Below are 16,728 nucleotides of genomic sequence, written 5' to 3' on the forward strand. Positions count from 1 at the left end.
AGAATAGTGTCTGTCGTAAACTAGGGTCCCAGTATTATTAGTCCAAGAATATATATGACAAGAACACATCAGTAAGAAGAAATCCAGATTCAGATTATTCTAAGTTGAAAGTCTACAAATCTTTCCCACTTCTTCTCCTTTTTATGTAATGAATGGCAGACTCCACAACAGTTAATCGTAGTAAGTTAGAATTCTCTTTAACAATAACCCTCTATCTACTGATTTATCTGGCACAAACAACAAAAAGGCAACATTAATAATTTTTAAAAAATTGATCATTTAAAATAAGGCTGAAGTCCCTTTCGATCATCTGTCCTTATCCTAATTCCTTCCCTCCTTCCTCAGGAGTAAACACTTTTCAAACATCATCTTACCTGGTGACTACTCCCTTCTTGCAACTATCCTCTTTCCTTGGTTGTAAAGACACAATTCTCTCTCAACTTTTGCTTCTCAATTTCCTTTGTAGGCTCTTCTTCCACCATCTGCCCTTGACTCTGCACTCTGTGCTCCATTCTTGCTTCTAGCTTTTTATTTTACACTTTTAGGTGACTTAAACCACTCCCTTAAGATTTCAAATACTTGGCCAGGCATGGTGGCTCACACCTATAATCCCAGCACTTTGGGAGGCTGAGGCAGAAGGATCACCTGAGGACAGGAGTTCAAGACCAGCCTGACCAACATGGTGAAACCCCATCTCTACTAAAAATACAAAAAATTAGCCAGGTGTGGTGGTAGGCGCCTGTAACCCCAGCTACTTGGGAAGCTGAGGCAGGAGAATCCCTTGAACCTGGGAGATGGAGGTTGCAATGAGCCAAGATCACGCCATTGCACTCCAGCATGGGCAACAAGAGCAAAACTCCGTCTCAAAGAAAAAAAAAAAAAAGACTTCAAATACTAATTACTTAATCTCTCTATTGCTACAGACTGGATATGCTTTTCAGGCATTTCACAGAAAATACACTTGTTCTTCCATCTACACTGTCTATTTCCACAAACTGCACTACCACTCACCCAACTAACCTACTCAGAAACCTAGGAGTCCCTAACACTTAACCTTATTCCCTCAACCTCTGTAATCAATCACCTGTTAATCACTGGGCCCTGTGTGTGTTATCTCCTAAATATCATTACAGTTATTTAATAACTGGTTCCTCTGCCCTGGTTTAGGCCCTCATCTGTCAGCTATACCACTGCAAAAACAACACCTACAGTAATGCACCAAGTAACAATGTGTCAGTCAGTGATGAACCACATATATACAATGGTGGTCCCATTAAGACTATAATGGAGCTGAAAAATTCTTATCACTCAGCAATGTTGCAGCAGGTCATAATGCCTAGTGCAATGCATTACTCACATGTTTGTGGTAACACTGATGTAAACAAACCTACTAGGCTAGGCTGCCAGTCAAATAAAAGTATAGCACATACAATTATGTACATCATGATACTTGATAATAATAAAGGACTGTACTGATTTATGTATTTAACCTACTATATTTAAAATCATAATTTTAAAGTGTACTCCTTATACTTATTAAAAACAATTAACTGTAAAAGTGCCTCAGGCAGGTCCTTCAGGAGATACTCCAGAAGGCACTGTCATCATAGGAGATGACAGCTTCATGTGTGTTACTGCCCCTGAAGACTTTCCAGTGGGACAAGATGTGGAGGTGAAGACAGTGATATTGATGATCCTGACCCTGTGTAGGCTAAGGCTAATGTGTTTGTGTCTTGGCTTTTAACAAAAAAGTCTAAAAAGTAAATTAAAAAATTAGAAAAAGCTTACAGAATAAGGATATATTTTTGTACAATTGTATAATGTGCTTGTTTTAAGCTGTTATTACAAAACAGCTGAAAAGTTAAACAAGCTGAGATATAAAGAAAAATAAATAGAAGAAAAAAGTTTAAAAAATGAAAAGTTTATAAAATAAAAATGTTACAGTCAGCTAAGGTTAATTTATCATTGAAGAAAGAAAAATATTTATTTTTTAGAGACAGGGTCTCTAGCCAGGCATGGTGGCGGGCACCTATAATCCCAGCTACTTGGGAGGCTGAGGCAGGAGAATCGCTTGAACCTGGGGGGCGGAGGTGGGAGCTGAGGCTGTGCCATTGCACTCCAGCCTGGGCAACAAGAGTGAAACTCTGTCTCAAAAAAAAAAAAAAAAAAAAAAAAAAAGAGACAGGGTCTTGCTGTGTCACCCAGGCTGGAGTACAGCAGTGTGATCCTGTACAGCAGTGTTATCCTAGTTCATTGCAGCCCTAACACTCCTGGGCTCAAGTGATTCTCCTGCCTCAGCCTCTCAAAGTGCTGGAATTACAGGCGTGAGCCACCATGTCCAGGCAAGAAAAATATTTTTTAATTTTTATTATTTTATTCTGAAGTTATGATACAAGGAAAAATATTTTTTTATAAACCCATTGTAACCTAAGTGTACCATGTTTATAATGTCTACAGTAGTGTAATGTCCTAGGCCTTCACATGCACTCACCACTCACTCACCCAGAGCAACTTCCAGTCCTGCAAGCTCCATTCATGGTAAATACAGGTATAGCATCTTTTATATTTAATACCATATTTTTACTGTACCCTTCCTATGTTTAGACATGTTAAGATACAAATACCACTGTGTCACAATTGCACAAATACAGTATTTGGTATTTTACATGATGCACAAGTTTATGGCCTAGGTCCGTGTAGTCGGTTTTATCATCTAGGTTTGTGTAAGTACACTCTATGATGTCCCATAATAACAAAACCACCTATGGACACATTTCTATGAATGTATCCCATTGTTAAGCAACACACGACTATATAACAAAACAATAACACCTAATTATCTTTTTACATAGCACAAACATTTAATCAAGTCTGTTTTATTTAAACCCTTCAATGATTTGAACGGTTTAAGAGATTTTTAAATTTAACTTTTTCTTTTACTTTTGGTTAAACATGCAAAGTTTAATTTGGCAAATTAAAAAGCGTGAAATAAAATGATGTTATCCATTGTGTATTTCTGAAGCATCCCTAAGAAAACAGGGTTTTGTTTGAATTTTTCCTATTTGGTTGAGATCATACTTTCTTTTTTCCCTTTTAACAATTAAATATTATTTGAAGTTACAGTTTCTCTTGAAAGTACTGCAAGCTACTGACAGGTAGAAGTTTGGTACCAAAGTGACAGTTCTTTGCAATGTCATTATGGTTATTTCTCAAACAAAGATATATTAATTCTTTGTTGGTCCTAACAAGAATCGAATTTTTTTTCTTGATGTGATCTGAAAAATCCATTAAATATGCAAATGATGGCAGGGCACGGTGGCTCACGCCTGTAATGCCAGCACTTTGGGAGGGTGAGGTGGGTGGATTACCCGAGGCTGGGAGTTCAAGACCAGCCTGACCAACATGGAGAAACTAAAAATACAAAATTAGCTGGGCGCGGTGGTGCATGCCTGTAATCCCAGCTACCTGGGGAGGCAGAGGCAGGAGAATCGCTTGAACCCGGGAGGTGGAGGTTACGGTAAGCAAAGATCGTGCCATTGCACTCCAGCCTGGGCAACAAGAGCAAAACTCCGTCTCAAAAAAAACCATGCAAATGACCATCATCTGAGACCTAAAACTTATGGTGTAAACCAACTTACTGCACTGCCAGTTGTATAAAAGTATAGCACATACAATTATGTACAGTACATAATACTTCATTATAAATGACTATGTTAGTGATTTATATATTTACTTTTAATCATTATTTTAGAGTATTATCCTACTTATTAAAAAATGGACTGTAAAACAGTTAAAATTATAAAACTAGAGATCCAATACGTGAGAAAAACAGATGCTATAAGCTTGAGAAAAGAAAAATAGCTCAGAGTAGTCTCAGCTATGTGAGGTATGCAGGCCCAGAAAGACATGCATATCAAACATCAGTTATGCACAAACTCTTCCTCCTATGGGTGGGGGCAATTGTTTTATGTGATTTTGTTCCCAACTAGCTGCCTCACACATTATCTTCATGTTACTGGCATTTGTGACACAAAGAAAAATATACAGCCTATCAATAGCTTACATTATTTTAATGTAAATTCTGGTTAACAACTCAAACTCCCTCTTCTTTCCCTTTAAAAATCCACTTGTAACTGCTGCCTATCAAAGGGTATATTCACGGCAACTTGAATCTGTGCTCCTCAGCTGCAATCCTCAAGCCTGGCCCAAGTAAACTCTCTACTTATATTAATTTTGCCTCAGTTTCCTCCTTTTAGGTTGACAGCCAAATGTAGAATACATTAAATTTTCAGTAAAGAAGAATTATCATTAAAATTGTAACACAAAGCAGAGGTACATTCAATAGTCTTTTTCTGAACATGAGTGCTCACTGCTCCAGGATCTGATTTTACTGTGACACTGAGCAGGGCAACTGTAAGCAGTCCGCTTGCTCCTTTATTCAAATTCTCACTAAGATTCAGATCCTCAAGGCTGCAATACGGAAGAATTCCCATGTGAGAAAGAGTAGTTGGACTTCAAAGCCCTGACTCTTGTCCCTTCAATGTCAATTGAGAAGGATTTGGGAATATTTTTAATAAGTGAGCTAATGGGTATCCTTAAATCAGAAAAATTCTTTAGTTTGTTAATTGCAATAAAGCTTGAAAATTCATGGCCATTGAAATTTTTATTTTGAGACAAGGTCTCGCTCTGTCACCAAGGTTGGAGTGCAATAGCACAATCACAGCTCATTGCAACCTCAAACTCCCAGGCTCAAGCGATCCTCCCACCTCAGCCTCCAGAGCAGTTGGGACTACAGGCGCAAACTATCATGTGTGGCTAATTTTTAAATTTTTTTGTAGAGATATGCTGCCAGGGCTGGTCTTGAACTTCCGGGCTCAAGTGATCCTCCTGCCTCAGCCTCCCAAGTGCTTATACAAACCTAGATGATACAGTCTACTATACGCCTAGGCTGTATGCTACAGCCTATTGCTCCTAGGCTACAAACCTGTACAGCATGTCACTGTACTGAATATTGTATGCAACTGTATCATAATAGTGTCTGTATACTTAAATATATCTAAACACAGAAAGGTACAGTAAAAATATGGTATTGTCTTATGGGACCATCATCTATACACGTTGTGTATGAAATGTCATTATGTGGTATATGACTATACAGTGCTATGAGAGCATATAAATGAAGGGGTCAGAAAGCTACTGCCAAAGAAATATCAAGATTTAAAGGATGAGTAGGTGTTAACTTGGGGTGGTACTCTCCAAGTTATGGATCAGTATGTGCAAAGGTTTTGAGGCCAGAGGAGGCATAAAGAATTTAAAAACTGGAGGAAGACCACTGTGGCTGAAGCAGACAGAATGAAAGCACAATGGCTGGATATTAACTTATTCTTACCTTTGTTAAGAGCTCTCTGTTTATTTTGAAATTTACAGTCCTTTGACCAGTACTGATTTCACTCACCACTGTATCACATCTTAGCTGAAAAGAACAAATCACACAAAGTAGGTATGTTATATAATAGGCCTAATGAGATAGGTAGTTCTAATGCTATTTTTGGCTTACAAAGACACAAGTAAGTCATCTTTCATGGTCCCTATATCGGGTCCCAGTTCTCAGGCAATCTCTTTAGTTCCATACTTCTATTTAAGTAAACACATTTTCTTTTTTTCCCAACTAACATGCTATTCTGTATTCAGTCTCTCTCTTCCTCATTCTCTTTCCCTCCCCTCAAATTCACCTTGTAACAAGTAAGAAAAATCACTCTACCCATATTCTACCTACTCTGACATACGATGAACACTTTTTATCTCACCTAGCTTTCATGAGAGCCACAGAACATGACATTCTGTCAGGGTCTACGCTAAAGCACCTGCACCAACAGATAAGATGTAATTTAGATAGTCTGTCTTCTATGCATATGCCTTCACTTTTTAACCTATTAGATGTTCGAAGCCATCTCATGAAAAACCTATGGAACTTGAAGAGATATCTGCTGTCACTAAAGAGCAACTAGTCTTTATTTTTAAGAACTTACAAGAAATGGGGAAAAGGAACTAAATACTGTATTTTGAATAATTCTATTCCTGGTAAATATCTGGGAGTGATTTTCTGATCAAATAAATATTTACTAAGCTACCAATGCTCCTTTATCATAGTCACCCTTTAAATAAGCATCTTTTTCTATGATAGTGACTTTCATTGTTCCAATTCTTTTGAGTTCCCAGACACTGACTCTGTGGATGTATGTTAATAACCTTGTCCAACATTATCTGCCTTTTCTGAGGGAATTACACTAACAATTTATGTTTAGTAATTCCTTGCAATCCTTTCAATTCCTCTGTTAGATATCAAACCCATCAGAGAACTTAGAAATGAAAGAGGCTTATTAAATCATCTAACCACCTCTTCTCTGTAATCATGATTCTATTTACATCTAATCATTTCTTCTCATATTTCAATGTTCATCTTTTCAGAAACTCATTTTAAAAATTGCAACTCACTGCTCTAATTTATCAAGCTTGTTCTCCTAAATTCAAAAGTCCATCCAGCTTCAATCTGTAAATTTAATTAACACTTCAGTCTTCCTGTAAGTGGTTAATCAAAAAATTGAACAATGTCAGCTCAAGAGGAGTGCTTTATAACTAATCTGAAAAATCATTATAACCTTATAGTACATGGCTAAAATGAATTTAAATTATATTACACAAGATGCCTCAAAGAAACACTATTAAATTCACTATTATGGCTGAGATAGCCTGCAAAGTACTTTTTTTAATAACAAGTTTATTACAATGTCAAAAAGAGATAATAGTGCTAACGTACCTTCTCTGCTAGTCTCTTGGCTTGAACTTGAATATCTGGTCTTGAATGGTCATTGTCTTTTTCCAATAAAGAATCCACAGAAAGCTGAAAATCAGCTACTTCTCTAAAGACAGACATCGAAACGAGATAGAACTGTTACCTTAAAAGCATTAGTTGTTAAACAAAGACTAATCACTATGAGTTCTCCATTGAGACATACCTTTACCAGAAGAAGGTGTTATGTGTACTTTCAAAATTAAAAGCAAGGGGGCCGAGAGCGGTGGCTCATGCCTGTAATCCCAGCACTTTGGGAGGCTAAGGCAGGCGGATCACCTGAGGTTGAGTTCTAGACCAGCCTGGCCACATGGTAAAACCCCATCTCTACTAAAAATACACACACACACACAAAAATTAGCCAGGCATGGTGGTGTGTACCTACAATCCCAGCTGCTTGGGAGACTGAGGCAGGGGAATCGCTTGAATCCTGGAGGTGGAGACTGCAGCGAGTCAAGATTGTGCCACTGCACTCCAGCCTGGGTGACAAGAGCGAAACTCTGTCTCAAAAAAGTAAATAAAATAAAATAAATAAATAAAAAACAAAATTAAAAGCAAGAAAATGAGAAATAACCTAGTATTTATTCAGAATGTTTTTCTTATCATCTTATAAAATTCTTCCTCTTCTGTCTGGGCACAGATCCCAGCACTTTGGGAGGCCGAGGCAAGTGGACCACTTAAGGTCAGGAGTTTGAGACCAGCCTGGCCAACATGGAAAAACCCCATCTCTACTAAAAATACAAAAATTAGCCAGGCGTGGTGGCATGTGCCCGTAAGCCCAGCTACTCGGGAGGCTTAGGCACGAGAATTGCTTGAACCCAGGAGGCAGAGGTTGCAGTGAGCTGAGATCATGCCACTGCACTCCAGTCTGGGTGACAGAGCAAGACCTAGTCTCAAAAAATTCTTCCTCTTATACTAGCCACCTTATTTTATAGACATGAAAACTGATGTCTGGCAAGCTAAATGTCTCCTTTAAAATCCTACTGCAAATAAAAACAGACTGAGAAAAAAGCCCAGGTCTCTTTACCTCTTCTACAATGCTTCCTCTACTACTCCAAATACATGCTTCTAATTCAAACCTCTCCACTGACCTCCAAATGACATATTTTTTAAATGTTGTAATTTGAGTTTCAACATGAGAAAAAGAAGAATATTCTTCTTAACACTCAGTAGTTCATTAAAGAGATGGACAATGCCATTTATCCTTTTCACTGGGTAGGTGAAAAAAAAATACAAAAACAAAGAAACAAACACAAAGCAACTGATTCGTGAAAATAAATCATTTGCATCATGAGATCAGTTCTCTCTAGGGAAGCAGGGTAGGGAATGCAGTCAAACAAATATATATCAGTGACTTCAACATTATCTGTAATGCTTAACAAAAATCAAAAGCTCTCCCTTTCCCTACAAAATAAGACTTGAAGTAAATTTGGAAAAAGGACTTGACAACTTAGAAAGTGACCATGACAGTACTCATTACATCATTCTCTATGAATTTTTCTGTAGGTTTGAAATAGTTCAAGGTGCAAAAAAAATTTTTTTAATCAACATATAAGCATCTATATAACTACTCACACTAATTTATCTTCTGGTGTTTAATATGGAACTAGAGAATGAGACTCGATGGGCAGAGTAAGAGGGTTGAAACTTTATTTATCCAGCCCATCTGTCACTGGAATGAAAAAACTTATTTTTGAGAAGGCACAAATTATTTCCTTCATTAACACTTATGAAACTCAGGGAAATAACTAAAAATTCCTGTGTGACTTCTGGTTAACATCACATTTAAAAACCCAGTCCACAATGACCATTAAGAATTCTCCTGAGCCTTAATACATCATCCAGCAGCCTACTATGTATTACACTTTGGCCAGGTACAGGGGCCCATGCCTGTAATTCCAACATTTGGGAGGCCAAGGCAGGAGGATTGCTTGAGCTCAGGAGTTCAAGACCAGCTTGGGCAACATAGCAAGACCCAATCTCTAAGAAAAAAAATTTATATTAAAAAATGAAAACAATCTAAATGTCTAGCAACAAGGGAATGTTACAATATTGCTAAAAGCGATATTCATTTTAAAAACAGAATTATGTCAGGAAAAGGATTCAAATATCTTATGTTTTTCTATGTAGTTTTATAGCTATGTCTTTTTAAACGCTAAAAAAATTTCAAACAAAAAAGTAAAAAATACATCAACTTGCTAAAATCAGTTGTCTTACTGTAGTAGACTATTGGGGGCTTTTATCTTTTCTTATTCTTCTGTATTTTCCTGAATTTCCTTAAGAAGATTATCTGTTTTGCTTTTATAATAGAAAAACACATTTAAAAATAAAACCTTTAAAAAGACAAAACATCTAAGCTATGAAAAGCAGTAGATATCAAAATAAACAACTGTGGATGAGGAGAGCCCAACACAGTGGCTCAAGCCTGTAATTCTAGTGTGGGAGGCTGAGGTAGGAGAATTGCTTGAGCTGAGGAGTTCAAGACTAGCCTGGGCAATGTAGGCAGACATCATCTCTACAGAAAATTTAAAAAATTAGCCAAGTGTGGTGGCCCATGCTTCTGGTCCCAGCTAATTGACAGGCTGAGATGGGAGGATAGCTTGAGCCTGGGAGCTTAAGGCTGCAGTAAGCCGTGATTCTGCCACTGCACTCCAGCCTCAGCAACCAACAGAGCTAGGTCCTGTCTCAAAAAAAAAAAAAAAAAAAAAAAATGTGGACAAGGAAAGCAGACGGCGTGTAAAAGAAACAAAACTGAGCCAGGCATGGTGGCTCAAGCCTGTAATCCCAGCACTTTGGGAGGCTGAGGCAGGCGCATGTTGCCCAAGCTGGTCTTGAACTCCTGAGCTCAAGCAATCCTTCTACCTTGGCCTCCCAAGGTCAGGAGTTTGAGACCAGCCTGGCCAACATGGTGAAACCCCGTCTCTACTAAAAATACAAAAATTAGCTGGGCATGGTGGTGTGTGCCTGTAATCCCAGCTACTGGGGAGGCTGAGGCAGGAGGATGGCTTGAACCCAGGAGGCGGAGGTTGCAGTGAGCCAAGATTGTGCCACTGCACTCCAGCTTGGGTGACAGAGCAAGATTCCGCCTCAAAAAAACAAAGAAAAAACTGGTCCCATACAGATGATGGTGGGTGATGGGCACACACAGGGTTCATTAAACTAGTCCCTGTACACTCATTCTTTATACTTAAAAAAGTTTAAAAAGCAATAGTTATTTTCCCATTAATTCTGAGGAGTTGTGATATTGGTTAGTGTGAAATCCACAGACTTGATAGCCATTGGCTTATAATAAAGTTGTTAATTCTGTTTACTACCATCAGATAGTAGACAGAAAATAAAATCGAGAGAATTAGATCAGAGTAAATTAATTCATTATATTAATTAAACCATGTTAACAAAAATACTATTTCTTAATTCTCCTGGCACTTGTAAGCACTCTGGAATAAAGTTAGAAATATAGAACGGTTAGGCTTAGTTACATACTGTAAAGGAAACCTGAATTTATTATGGCAAAGCACTAGAGGTTCCCTTTGTTTTAAGTAAACTTAATATGAAGAATTTCAGATTTGTAGGCCAGAAAAATCTTGAGGCCCTCCCCAATATTTAATTTATTTATTTACTTTTTTTGAGACGGAGTCTCGCTCTGTCACCCAGGCTGGAGTGCAGTGGCGAGATCTCGGCTCACTCTAACCTCCGCCTCCCCGGTTCAAGCGGTTCTCCTGCCTCAGCCTCCTGAGTAGCTGGGATTACAGGCGCATGCCACCATGCCTGGCTAATTTTTTGTATTTCTAGTAGAGACGGGGTTTCACCATGTTAGCCAGGATGGTCTCCATCTCCTGACCTCACGATCTGCCTGCCTCGGCCTCCCAAAGTGCTGGGATTACAGGCGTGAGCCACCGTGCCCGGCCCCAATATTTATTTTCTATAAACTAAAGTTAATACCTCAGATTGTTAAAGTGGAAGCAGGCAAAGGAAATCCTATTCAAAAGATGGGCCAAGATGGTTCAGCTTATTAAAGACCTTTGACACATTAAATGAAAATGGAAACAAACAGGCTGGGTGTGGTGGTTCATACTTGTAATCCCAGTACTTTGGGAGACCAAGGCAAGGGGACTGCCTGAGCTCAGGAGTTCAAGACCACCCTGGGCAACATGACTAAACCCCATCTCTACAACAAATACAAAAATGTCAGCCAGGCATAGTGGCGTGAGCCTGTAGTCCAAGCTACTCTGGAGGCTGAGGTGGGAGGATCACTTGAGCACGGGAGTTTGAGGCAGCAGTGAGCCGAGATCACACCACTGCCCTCCAGCTTGGGTGACAGAATGAGACCTGGTCTCAAAACAAACAAACACCAAACCAGTAACATTTCCCTTATTATGCAGAATGTCATTTATAGATTTTACGAAATAGGCAACTAGTTTGGAAGGTTACATCTATTTACATATAATCATGAGATCCTCTTGGTAGTGGCTGCCTCTCTTACAGAAAGTCAATATAAAAAGCCGCAGTGGGCCATTTTAAAGGTGCTTTTACTAGAAGGCCAAATGTAGCCTTTCTCTTTCTTTTCCACTTACTTCTTTGTTCTATTCTGAGAAGAATATTCATTCTACTCTTAAAGTCCTGACAAAGTTAAGTGAATAAAATACAAGGACAGAATGGTACTGGTAATTATATCTTAACTTCTTTTCAAAGCTTAGGACTTAAATGACTACTATGTAGCTAATTTCTTGTCATTATTAATTGACAGACAATAATCTATCCAAGTATTGAAGTTTTCTACCCAAATCGTAAACAAGAATCATTTAGGATGACCAAACTCACAAAGAGATACCTCTCTGTAACTGAGAAAGCAACTATTAGTTGTGTGTAGTCCTAACCAACAGTTTTCTATCACTGGGAGTACTCAAAAGGAAACTCAATAAACAAAAACAACATTAAAAACCTAGTAGATAAATATGGTACAACAGTATTCAAGCACCAGATGGCTGTACAATCTTTAATATCCCTTCAAAAACCCTGAGATTCTAACCACAATTTTAGTTATTTTATTTATTGTTACAGAATTGAATTTGAACCTCATTCCCAAAGACTTTGCCACAATTATAGTTACTAGCATAACTAAAATAATGAACATAAGAATACACAATCTGCCATATCAGAGTATTTAAAATACAGATTTTAATTTTATTATTTAAGTCAACAGGAGTAATAGGCTGAGTATAATGAATCATATCTTACAGTTAATTTCAAGGACTATTCCACAAACTGAAGAGTAACAATTCTTTTTTGCTTTTTTGGTGTATCAACAAAGTCAGCAACATTTTATAGATTGTTACAAGTGTATTATACTTAACTCTTTTTGGGAAATTGGAACTGCAGATATTGATGTGATCAAGTTTTCTGGTGGAAGATTCAACACTCTGGAAAGCTAAAAATCAAAAAGAACAAAACAGTGTAAGATTGTTCACATATTTGTTCCATTCAATGGAATACCACTTGTAAGAATAAACTATTAATACACTTAACACGAATGAGCTCCAAATGCATTCCAAGTGAAGGAAGCCAGATTCAAAAAGGTATATAGTGTATGATTCAATTATTTGACCCTCTGGAAAACCCAAAATTCTAAGGATGAAGAATAAATCTGTGGTTGCCAAGGGTTAAGGGGAGGATTTGACCATAAATTAACAGAACTGTTTAGCAAAAAGAATGAACTTTACCTTCGTAAATTAAAAAAAAAAAAAAGTATGGCAAGAGAGGAGATAAACCACTGAGAATCCACAGATAATTTACTTATTTTTTTCATTAAAAAAATTGAGTGGCTACTTAATGTGCCAGGCATTATTCCAGGTATTAGGGATACAGCAGTGAACAAAACAGACAAAAAACAAAACAAAACAAAACAAAACCTCATGGCATTTACAAATAAACAAGTAAATAACAGGGAAAATGTGATCCCCGTCCCTATCAAAGGCTTAATCATTAGAATAGCGGGGTGGATGTGTTATATACATATATTTTGTAGCACAGACAAAGTCTCGCTATGTTGCCCAGGCTGGTCTTGAACTCCTGGCCTCATGTGATCCTTCCACATCAACTCCCCAAAGTACTGGGATTATAGGTGTGAGGAACTGTGCCTTGCTGGATTTGTATTTTCTAAAAGCTCCTCGCACGACTGTTAATACATAGCCAAAGTTGTGAACTATTACCCTAATTGGACACTCAAAGTTAGGTGGAAGAGACATTCCCATGTACTGAATGATTTATTTTTTTTGAGACAGAGTCTCGCTCTGTCACCCAGGCTGGAGTACAGTGACGTGATCTCGGCTCACTGCGGCCTCCATCTCCCGGGTTCAAGCAATTCTCCTGCCTCAGCCGCCCAAGTAGCTGGGATTACAGACGCACACCACCAAGCGCAGCTAATTTTTTCTATTTTTAGTAGAGACGGGGCCTTGCCATTTTGGCCAGGCTGGTCTCAAACTCCTGACCTCAGATGATCCACCCGCCTCAGACTCCCAAAATGTTGACATTATAGGCGTAAACCACCATGCCCAGCCAGATTTTTTATTTCTTATAGAGACAGTCTTGCTATGTTGACCAAGCTGGCCTCTAACTTCTGGCCTCAAGCAAACCTCCCACCTCCGCCCCTCAAAGTGCTGGGATTACAAGAGTGAGCACTGCACCAGTCCTGAATTATTCCTATCTGACAGGCATGTCTTAAGTACCTTAATTTTTCTTTGCAACAATCCCAGACTTTCCTACTATTTCAACCCTCATTTTATAAATGATGAAACTGAAGTACAGGGAATTTACTTAACTTGCCTAAGTGGAAAGAAAAGCTAGGATGTGAACACAGGCTATCTAAAAACAGAACCTATACTCAACCCCTATGCCATATTGATATGGTTTGGTTCTATTTCCTCCCAAAATCTGATCTTGAATTATAGCTCCCATAATCCCCACGTGTCATGGGAGGGACCAGGTGGGGATAACTGAATCATGGGGTGGTTTCCCCCATTCTGTTTTCGTGACAGTGAGTTAGTTCTCACGAGATCTGATGGTTTTAAAAGAGGCTTTCCCCCACCCTTCGCTCAACACTTCTCCTTGCTGCTGCCATGTGAAGAATGTGTCTGCTTCCCCTTCTGCAACGATTGTAAGTTTCCTGAGGCCTCCCCAGCCATGCTGAACTGTGAGTCAATTAAATCTCTTTCCTTTATAAATTACCCAGTGTCACGCATGTCTTTATTAGCAGTGTGAGAACAGACTAATACACATATGTATATCCTTTCATTGAGAAATGCATAAAAACAAAATAGTGAAATAACAGCATAGCCAGTATAAATTTACAACTGTCTTCAACTTTTCCCCCACTTCTCCAATACTCATATAGCCTCTGCAAAGGACTATACATGGCTGTAGAATTGGGAAAAAGAGAAGGGAATGATGGGGGAAACAGAAAAAGTAAGAATGTAAGAAGAGTTTAAGAAGAAATCATCTTCAAGGGTGTTTGTGACTGTTCAGGAGAGCAATAAAATTAAAACCACTGTCTCTTGATTAATAACAACATATACTCTCCTGTTGTCAACAGAAGTTATTTGTTGAATTTCACAAACATATTAACCGTAAAAACTTGCCCAAACTTGCAGACCTGGAGACGTCACTTTCTTTAAGAGGCTTGTACATTTCCACTTTGGCTTGGTACAGATTGATTTTTTAAAGTTTCCTCTCAGGGTACAATATTTTTATTTTCTAGACTTTAGGAAGTAAATTACTGTATTCCTTACTAAAAAGTCATTTCTTTAGGATGTATTTACAGAAGTAGGTAAATATTTCCAAAGCATTTATAGGATAAAGGCTCAAACAGTTCATGTTTATAGTACGAAATGTTTCTAGAACAGAAACATCAGTAATAAAGGTTCTATCGTAATTTCTCAGAAAAAAAAAAAAAAGGATCCAAATTCCAAATTCCAGTTCTACTTTTATTAGTTAAGAGACCTTGAGAAAGTAATTTTACATGAATGAGCTATAGTTTTCACAGCTGAAATACGGGGATAATAAATCTGTTAAATAATAAACTAGGGCTCTTGTGATGACTAAGAAAAATATGTCATATAATAAACATGTAATAAATATTTCCTTCTCCTTTTAAAAAGTTTGTTTATTTTGGACACATCTTCCAAACTTAACCATAATCACTAAGATTTTATGTCTATCTTAAATATAACAATTCGGCTGAAAAAAACTCAGTTATTAGGTCAATTTTGAAGCATTTCAGCTGACAAATAGGTTGTGAACCTGGGTAGCAATAAAAAGGTTACATTTAAATGAACAACATGCAATTCTCATTTGGAGAATTCTTTTGGCTAAACTAAAAGCTACTTAATAATTTCTTCTTCTTCTTTTTTTTTCTTTTCCCCAGAGAAAAGGTCTCACTCTGTTACCCAGGCTGGAGTGCAGCGGCTCACAATCATACTTCACTGTAGCCTCGACCTCCTGGTCTCAAATGGTCCTCCCACCTCAGCTTCCTGAGTAGCTGGGACTCCAAGGAACTGCGCCACCATGGCTGGCCTCATGTATTATCTTACTATATTTCATTTGCTACCAAAAATGAAATGGGGGACTTAAGCACATAAAATGAAATGGAGGTATAAATTTATACCAGAAAACTCTAAGCTCAAGGTACTTAACGCTTCTTGGCAATCAAGGTACAAAGGGAATCTATCTACACAGCATGTTTTACACCTAGTAATACAGGGTAAACATATATATATACATACTCAGTAAATAGCAGGAATGAAGTTTTCCTGAAAGTAATTCTAAGACTAGTTTATCTTACTCATATGAAGATATAAATAACAAGACAGTAGTTTCAATAGCAGTTTCACAAAAGATACATGTATAATTAGTTCTTGTACTGCTATAAAGACATAACTGAGACTGGCTAATTCATGAGGAAAAGAAGTTTACTTGGCTCATGGTTCCACAGGCTGTACAGGAAGCACGTATGGGGAGGCCTCAGAAAACTCAATCATGGCAGAAAGCGAAAGGGAAGCAGGCACATCTCACACGGTGGGAGCAGGAGGAAAAGTGTGAATGGGGAGATGCTACACACTGTTGAACAACCAGATCTTGTGAGAATTCTATCACCGAGGCAGCACTAGGGGAATGGTGCTAAACCATTAGAAACCATCCCCATGATCCAATCACCTCTCACCAGGCCCCACCTCCAACACTGGGGATTACAATTGAACATGAGATTTGGGTGGGGACACAGAGCCAAACTATATCAGTATAGAAACATTCTTACATAATGTAAATTTTAAAACAAACAAGAAAAAGGGGGTTGGGGTGAATGTGGAGTTATTGTTTAATGGGTAGAGAGTTTTAGTTGTGCAAGATGAAAACTGTTCCGCAGACGGATGGTGGTGATGGTTGCACAATGTAAATGTACCTAATGCCACTGAACTGTATACTTAAAAATGGCTAAGATGGTAAATTTTACGTTATGTGTATTTTTTCACAATTTAAAAAAACACACAAAAAAAAACCAAGAAGACTTCCGGGATAAAGTAGTGAAATGAAAGCTTCTTCACATAATCTCCCATCTTCAACCAACATCAAAAAGAAAAGGAAGGAAAGTAATTAGAGAGTAAACAGGTAGGTAGGTTGGTTCTCCAGCAGCAAATACACAAGACAGAAAGAGCTCAAAGTCACAAACTTCAAAGTTGATAGTCAAGTAAAAATACAATAGCTTCTGGAGGAGAATGGAACAGCCCTGTTTGGCAAGGCTAACTCAGTCCTCATGTATCAGAAGTCAGAGATGAATTAACAATTCTCATTAACACCCCAAATCTGGAGAAAAACAAATTGAATAAATT

At 38.0% G+C, this 16,728-nt stretch overlaps 1 protein-coding gene across 37 annotated transcripts in view, besides 1 other annotated feature; it reads right to left on the reverse strand.

The window, feature by feature from the left end:
- Nucleotides 1-16,728, reverse strand: part of RARS2 (arginyl-tRNA synthetase 2, mitochondrial) — a 76,050-nt gene that overhangs the window by 43,375 nt on the left and 15,947 nt on the right. For 33 of the 37 annotated variants that reach the window (NR_146747.2, NR_134857.2, NR_146756.2 and 30 more), the window contains 3 exons: nt 12,205-12,278; nt 6,818-6,920; nt 5,390-5,473 (listed from right to left, as the gene is read on the reverse strand). Coding sequence is in view for 4 of the 37 variants with exons in the window: in NM_001350505.2 (NP_001337434.1) it covers nt 5,390-5,473; nt 6,818-6,920; nt 12,205-12,278 (261 nt within the window). In the remaining 33 variants the exon portion in view is untranslated. Of the gene's footprint in view, nt 1-5,389; nt 5,474-6,817; nt 6,921-7,231; nt 7,351-12,204; nt 12,279-16,728 lie in introns of all 37 variants that reach the window. The other 4 variants (NR_146741.2, NR_146757.2, NM_001350509.2 and 1 more) reach the window with 2 other exon arrangements.
- Nucleotides 15,935-15,994: an enhancer, noted in NCBI's record as "active region_24797". NCBI's record gives its function as "activates an Ori minimal core promoter by ATAC-STARR-seq in GM12878 lymphoblastoid cells {active_cell/tissue: GM12878}" and the evidence as "EXISTENCE:reporter gene assay evidence [ECO:0000049][PMID:35858748]".

The sequence above is a fragment of the Homo sapiens genome, chromosome 6 (assembly GCF_000001405.40).
Source record: "Homo sapiens chromosome 6, GRCh38.p14 Primary Assembly".
Taxonomy (NCBI): domain Eukaryota; kingdom Metazoa; phylum Chordata; class Mammalia; order Primates; family Hominidae; genus Homo; species Homo sapiens.